Source organism: Homo sapiens, chromosome 17 (assembly GCF_000001405.40).
Source record: "Homo sapiens chromosome 17, GRCh38.p14 Primary Assembly".
In the NCBI taxonomy this organism is placed as follows: Eukaryota; Metazoa; Chordata; class Mammalia; order Primates; family Hominidae; genus Homo; species Homo sapiens.
The window spans coordinates 34,968,935-34,977,559 of NC_000017.11; positions in this window are offsets into that span (position 1 = coordinate 34,968,935).

An 8,625-nucleotide genomic window follows, 5' to 3' on the forward strand; every position below is an offset into this window, starting at 1 on the left:
CTCCATATGTCAGTGGGAGCTCTTGGGCAGCCTTGATACCAGAAGGAGGAAAGTTACCCAGTGGCAGGGCAAGATCACAAAGCCAACAAGCACTCACTAACCCCCAGCCATGCTCAGCCCTCACCATTTCATTTGGCTCACCCCTTGTCTCTTGGCAGTCAAAACCTTTCAGAGTGCATCTATGCACTCAGCCATCCTTCACTGTAAGTACCCCCAGTCTCTCAGAGGAGGAAACCAGGTCCATCTGGCTGCACCTCCATTTTGCTAGCAGCATTTGTTGAGCTTCAAGCACACTGGGAAGCCAAGAGTCATCTTTAGGGGAATGAGGAGGACCACACGAAGTGGTTGATGATGGTAGTGTTTGTTGTTTTCATTGTTGTGTATTGTTTGTTTGCTTGTTGTTTTGCCAAGTGTAGTTACAAGGTAGTATCAATCAAGCCAGCTGATCGGGTTATTAATAATAGCTACCATTGACTGGATACCTACCATATGGGTGGCACTATGCTAGGGTTTGGTATACACCATGTCACATCCTCACAACCCTGTAAAGTATATGAAATCTTCATTTTACAGATGAGGAAGCTGAGGCTCTGAAGTGAAACAACTTACTCAAGACAACAATCCCAAAGCCCTTGTTCTTCCCACTATTACACTGCATCATTATTATTTAATATTAATATATACTTGCATAGAGTATTTTTTACTCACCAACTGATATGGTTTGGCTGTGTCCCCACCCAAATCTCATCTTGAATTCCCACGTGTTGTGGGAGGCACCCAGTGGGAGGTAACTGAATCAAGGGGGCAAGTCTTTCCTGTGCTATTCTCGTGATACTGAATAAGTCTCAGGAGATCTGATGGTTTTAAAGAGAGGAGTTCCTCTACACAAGTTCTGTCTCTTTGCCTGCTGCTGTTTACATAAGACATGACTTGCTCCTCCTTGTCTTCCACCATGATTGCGAGGCCTCCCCAGCCATGTGGAACTGTAAGTCCGTTAAACCTCTTTCTTTCGTAAATTGCCCAGTCTCGGGTATGTTTTTATCGGTAGCATGAGATTGGTTTTTTTTTTATCTCACCACCCCCCACCAAAAGTGAAACAACTATTATCACTTCATTTTAGATGTCTAATGACTTGTCCAAGGTCACTCAGTAAGTTAATCACTAAGACTAGATGTAACTTGATTTCCTAGTCCAATATATTTTCTATATTTAATAATAAAATGTGCAAAACATGACAGGATCCCCAAAATAGCAAGAATTAAGATGAGGGAAGTTTGCTGTCAAGGTTAAAGCAGTCCAGTGCTTTTCACAATCCCTTGCTAGGCTGGGAAGTCCTCTTTGTTGCAGGGTGTTATCCTCAGATTTTCTCCACACACTCCCACAATACTCTGCCTTACCCTATTTCGCCAGCAATAAAGTGTGTACTCCTTAGTGGTCTCTGATGGGGGGAAGAATGATGATTTCAGTTCTCAGAAATCCCAATGGGAAACAACAGTTACAAAGTGCCCTGTGATCCACCGCTTTTTGACAAGGTGACCTTGGGCAAGTCACTTCACTCTTAGTTTCCTCAACTATTAATATAATCCAAGGAGAGTAATAGTTCCTGTCTCCTAAGATTAAATGAGTTAAACGCATGTCAATGCTTTTAGTATAGCACCTGAGCCATACAGTAAGCACTCACTAAGTGTTGCCTGTTATTATTGTACTGTATGGTTTCCGTATTCTAGGAGACTGCCCTTCCTCCATGTGACCATCCGCAGAGGGTATCTGAGGGAAAATGCTTTTGCTCTTTTGGGGATAATTTAGAAGTAGAAGAGGCACTGGATTAAGTAGAGTTATTTCCCAAGGTGGCTTAGACCCACTTGCTTCCATTCACTCCCTCTCATTTGTATATGTGACATTTATTGAGAACCTACTCTATGAGAGTTCCTAGGGATTCAAAGATGAATAAAATGTGGCCCTGAACAAAGGGATCTCAGTCTAGATCAGGGCTTTTCAACCCCATCACTATTTTTGTTTGGTTGGTTGGTTGGTGGGTTGTTTTTCCGAGACAAGGTCTCGCTCTGACGCCCAGGCTGGAGTGCAGTGGTGTGATCATAGCTCATCTCAGCCTTGAACTCCCAGGCTCAAGTGATCCTCCTGCCTTAGCTTCCTGAGTAGCTAGGACTATAGGCACGAGCCACCACACTCAGCTATTTTTCCCCCTTTTTTTGGTAGGGACAGTGTCTCCCTGTTACCACGGCTGGTCTTGAACTTCTGTACTCAAGTGATCCTCCTGTCTCAGCCTCCCAAAGTGCTGGGATTACAGGCATGAGCCACCGTACCAGGCTTCCCTCTACACTATTGACATTTGGGACTGGATAATTATTTGGGCTGGGGTCTGTCCCGTGCATCATAGGATGTTTGGCAGCATCCCTGACCTCTATCCACTAAATGCCAGTGGCACTGTCACAACCCCACCACCTCATCGTGTTAGCTAAGAGTAGCCCCCAGTTGAGATCTACTGGTCTGTTTACAACTAACTATAATATAATATGATAAAATATGTTTGTGCAAAGTGTTGAGTGGGCAGTGTGTTGGAGGAGCAACTGACTGCAGGGAGGAGGGTTCAGAAAGGCTTCTGAGGAGGCAAAATTTGCACTCAGCATTGAAGGATGAGAAAGACTGTGCCAAGCAGTGAAGGAGGGAATGAGTATTGTGGACTAAGGTAACAGTGGCACAGAGACATGGAAAGTATGCAGTGCTGGGGAAACTGTCGCCTCAAGTACATGGAAGGATGTGGTGGAAATAGGACAGGAAGTCCACTGGGACTAGATTTACAAAGAACCTTGCATGTGAGCCTAAGCAATTTAGACTCCAGCCTGAAAGCAGAAATCCAGCGTGGGAAGGAAGAGAAAAAAGCACATTCGTTTCTTGGAAAGACTTACCATCCTCAACTGGGAAAAGATAGAGACGATGGACAAAAATGAGTAATTCCTTCTTTTAATCTGGATTTTCTTTCCAGTTATGGATTGGCTCTTCAGCCCACAGCTTCTATACTCCTCGAAATAAGAGGGAAGAAAAACTAGAGAAGCCCTCCTATTTTAGAACACAAGATTCACTCAAGAAAAAGACTCAATTTTACTCCTCCAAATAGTCCTTGAAGCTACTTGAAAACCTCTCATAGCAGAAACTGATATATTCTTTTGGTTGATGTCTTTTTATTTTAATTTTCAAAAAGTTTAGGAAATAGAAGCACACAGGGAAGTACAGAAAATAATATAACAAACATCCTGTACCCATTACCCAAAAATTTCTTTAAGAAATAGAAAAGTACAGAACACAGCTAAAACCCAAGTTAAAGAGAGTTTAGGTTTTAGATAGATACTTGGGCAGGAGGACACCTGGCTAACATTTGCAGCATCAGACATCAGTGTGCAGGTTCTGGATGAAGGGCTGTCCCACCTAGTCTGTCCAAATGGGCCCATTTCAAAGACAATGGTTCCCTAACCCAACTATATCCAATGCCCTATGCTGACCTACTCAAGGAGATTCTAGGTCAGTGGGTCTAGGTTGGGGCATCGGAAACAGTATGTTAAACAAGTTCTTCACGTAGTTCTGCAGTGGCAAAAACCAATGCTTGAAGCAATAACATAACCTGTCAACCTATTCATCTGTTGATAACAGATCCTGCCTCACAAGTTTACTGTGAAGATTAAATACATACACACAAATTGCTTAGCACTGGCTTATAAGAAGCCCTCAATAATACTTATTAACAATAATCAATGTTCACTGAGTACTTCTTTAGTGTACACTACGGTACAAGGGTCTGCAAGAAATTCAAAGGTATATATCAACCTCTCCCTGAAGGCAGAGTCTGAGTTTATCTTACTCACTCAATGCCCTGCACAAAGCAGACACTCAAACAATACTTATTGAATAAATGAGTGAAAAAGTGGCCCTGATCTTCAAGGAAATTACAATCTGGTTGTGTTATAAATAGTATATAAGAAACTGGGCAGGGGCCAGGTGCAGTGGTTCACGCCTGTAATGTCAGCACTTTGGGAGGCTGAGGTGGGAGAATCACTTGAAGCCAGGAGTTCAAGACCAGCCTGGGCAACATGGCGAGATGCCATCTCTACATAAAAATTAGCCGGGTGTGGTGGTGCACTCCCAGCACTTTGAGAGGCTGAAGCAGATGGATCACCTGAGCTCAGGAGTTCCAAACCAGCCAAGGCAATATGGTGAAACCGCATCTCTACCAAAAATATAAAAAAGTCAGTTTTGGTGGCATGCACCTGTGGGTCCCAGGTACTTGGGAGACTGAGGTGGGAGGATCGCTTGAGCCTGGGAAGTGGTGGTTGCAGTGAGTCGAGATGGCACCACTGCACTCCAGCAAGACCGCAACTCCAAAAAAAAAAAAGAAAAAAAAGAAAAGAAATTGGGCAGGACCAAAATATTAAACTACTGGTTATACGCAGTGTAAAGAGGGCTAATCAAAAGTCTAGGGTCTGAGTCCCACTTTGCCACCAATTAGCTGTGATATCTACCTGGTCAGTTTACTCCCTGAGCCTTAGTTTTATCCTCTTGGAGTATTAGGCTATGTCTGGGTACTAAGGACCCTCCCAAGAGGATCCATCACCAAGATCAAGACAGGAGCTGTAGGCAGGGGAGGTGGCAGCATGGGTGGTCAGGAATGCTTCAAGAGGGCTAAAGTGGCACATCTAGAGAAGGAAAGAAAAGGGGTAGAGGCTCTCCCAATATACAGGAATGGCAGGAGGAACAAGAGAGGTAAAGTGTTCAGCCCAGTCTTCAACCTCTGCCACTGCACCAAAGCTAAAAAACCAACTATCATCAAAACTACCTTATCAACCAGGCCAGAGCCCAGTAAAGGAGAACTTTAAACTCCCAGTAAAGGGAGTTTACCTCCCAAATAGGCTCATCTCTTCATAAAATATATTTTCCTTTGAAAATTATTAACTTGTCTCCTGAAAAACATAACCACCAGGACTTCACGCTAGAAAACCCAACCCAGGAGCTCAAGGAAGATGGTGGCAACTTTGAGTTTTCCTCACACCACATCTGTGACCTCAACCCTCTTCTTAACCCTGTCCCAGAACCTCTCTGTCATGGATCAGCTACTCCCAAAGGCAAGTATGACTTCTCTCAGCTCTGCCCTTTCTCAACCTGACAGCTGTAGCACAACATATTCAAAGGAGAGGCCAAGAAACCCCCCTGGTTAAGAACCAACCTCCGCAGCCTTTATTGAGAATGAAGAACGATGAGCTGATTTGAATTATTATATCTTTCTACAGCTATTCCCTTTTAAATATTTATCCTGGCAAATACCAGCACCGTTTTTTACAACTTATTTGAATTGTGTGACTATTAAGCAAACCAACCCATAAAATCAGCTCTTGCTGCTGGGGTTTATGTGATTCATAGACCACAGCTTATTAAAAAAGGGAACCCACTGAGAACAGACTAGCCTCACAAGTGCCCCTCACTATCTCTAGGACAGTGTCAAGCCTTTTCCCAATTCTTGCCTGTGGCTCCCAAACTACCACAGTTAGTAGCATAGAACATGAACAGAATCTACCCATTTCCTTATGGCTCTTTTTCTTTGTAACAATTCTGATGAGTCTTAACTGGAAGTCAGGGTTAGAACAGACTTAAAGGAGACAGTCAAAACTCTTAAGAGGCTCACAAACAGGATAGATGCCGTAGAGGATTTACAGTCAACATCTGTGGAAAGAACTTAATTGAGGACTTTGAATAGCTAGGAACAAGCATGAGATATCCTGATTATTCACCACCAGCTTAGTTCTTGTTTGGATCATAAAACTGCTTTGAGACTCCATAAAAGCTCTTCACCAAAAATGCCCATGCACACAAATGTTTATATAAAATTTCAGGAAATTCAAGGACACCCCTGAGCCCATCCACAGTTCCCCTAGGGGTCTATAAGCCTCAGTTATTTCTTACTATCACTGTTACCACCCAAGCTGCCTTCATCTCTCCCCTAGATTATTAACATAGCTACCTGACTCATCTCCCAACTTCTCTACACAACAACCAGAGTGATAGTGATCCTGTTAAAGCTTAAGTTAGATCACATGACTTCTCGGCTCAATACAATCCACTAGCTTCCCTTCTCACCTGGAATAAAAGCCAATGTCTTTGCAATGTCTTACAAGACCCTACAGGATCTGTCTCCTTGCTCTTCTCAACCTTAACTCCAGCTGCTCTAGCCACATGGATCTCCTTGCTATTGTCCTAAATGACAGTCACATTTTTGGCCTCCAAGCCTTTATCTAATGCTCCATCTACCCTCAATCTGCATGAGGCTGACTCATTTCTTCAAATCTTTTCTCAGTTGTTACTTGTCAGTGAGGCCTTTCTGACCTCTATTTAAAACTGCCACCCTGCCCCTACCCCGCATGTCCCACCCTCCTCTGCTTTCTTCTTCTCCATGGCACCCACTGACTTCTTACACCTTATACATTTTACTTCCCTGTTTGTTATTGATCTCCCACACTAGTTTGCTCCATGAGGGCTGGATTTTTGTCTGCTTTGTTTCGCTACTGTATTACACTCCTGGAATTGTGCCTGATGCAGAGTAGGCACTCAATAAATACTTGACTGACCAATCAATGACTGAGTGATTACACTCTGTAGTGGTATGAATGTATCCAGGCTGGGTGGTGCAGGAGAATGTACATTTATTGAAATGCCTCTAAGTGCCAAGCAGTTTGCAAGCTGACATCAGTCATCTCATTTAATTGGCACCTACAATCCCAAGAGTTATTTTTATCCTCATTTCACCACCAACCCAAAAATGAAATACTTAAGCATAAATCTAATACAATATGTACAAGAGGTGTATGAGGAAAACTACAAAACTCTAATAAAAGAAATCAAAGACAAACTAATCAATAAATATTCCATCTTCATGGATACAAATACTCAATATTGTCAAGATGTCAGTTCTTTCCAATGTAATCTGTATATTCAATACAATCCCAATCAAAATTCCAGTAACTTAGTTTGTGGATATTGGCTTTAGAAACTGATTCTAAAGTTTATGTGAAAAAGCAAAAGATTCAGAATAGCCAACACAATATTGGAGGAAGAGAACAAAGTTGGAGGACTGACATTATCTAAGTTGAGACTTGCTATAAAGCTACAGGAATCAAGACAGTGTGGTACTGGTCAAAGAACACACAAATAGACCAATGGACCAGAATACACAGCCCACAGACAGATTCACATAAATATAGTCAATGATCTTTGACAAATGACCAAAAGCAATACAAATGAGAAAACAGTCTTTTCAGAAATGGTGTTAGATCAACAAGGGATCCATATGGCAAAAATTGAATCTAGATAGATCTTACACCCTTCACAGAAATAAACTCAAAATTGATCCGGGACCTAAATGTAAAACTATCCCCATTTCACGGTGAAAACTGAGACCCGGAAAGTTAAGAAAATAGATGAAAGTTACAGACAGCTGGTAGTGGAACATAATTCAAACCTGTCTGTGCAAATCCAAAGCCCTGCTCTTCCTACCACACTTTGCCTCATTCTCCTTGGTAGAGTAGTTCCCACTTTTCTTTTTTTTTTTTGAGACAGAGTCTCGCTCTGTCTCCCAGGCTGGAGTGCAGTGGCGCGATCTCGGCTCATTGCAACCTCTGCCTCCCAGGTACAAGCGATTCTTCTGCCTCAGCCTCCTGAGTAGCTAGGATTACAGGTGCACGCCACCACCTGGCTGATTTTTGTATTTTTAGTAGAGATGGGCTTTCACCATGTTGGTCAGACTGGTCTCAAACTCCTGACCTTGTGATCCGCCCATCTCGGCCTCCCAAAGTGCTGGGATTACAGGCGTGAGCCACCACACCCAGCCAGTTCCCACTTTTCTAAAGAAGTGCAACTGCCGGCTTTCGTACCTAGTTCCATTTCTTGTGTACCTAGTTCTATTTCACAGCAGGGGACCTGAATCAGAGAGAATCAGGGGGTTCAGGGAGCTCTCATCAAGCAAAAATCATTTACAGCCTAAGTCTTTGCAAGTTTATATCAAATATTGTTATGATATAATAAACATCCTTCTAAGGGATCTTATCACTTCCAGAGTTTTATTCATTCATTCCATTCACTCATGAGTTTCATTCATTATTCACAGATATTTGTTGAGTATCTACTATGTGCCCAGCACTGTTCTAGGCACTGAGCATATAGCACAGATGCCACCCTCTACATGTAGGTTTGAAATCTAAGGCAGTGTACTCTAACAGAAATGTAGTGTAAGCCAAACGTGCAGTTTTATATTTTCTAGTCACCACATTTTCAAAAAAGTAAAAATAAACAGGTGAGATGAACTTTACTATATTTTATTTGACATAACATATCCAAAAAAATCATTTCAATAAATAATTAACATAAAGATAGGATAGTCGTGAGTTGTTTAACAACAGGATACCTTCTGAGAAATGCATCGTAAAGTGATTTTGTGATGGGAATATCATAGTGTACTTACAAAACCTAAATGATATGGCTGACTATATACCTAAGCTATATGGTATAGGCTATTGCTCCTAGGCTATAAACCCATACAGCATGTACTATACTGAATACTGTAGGAAA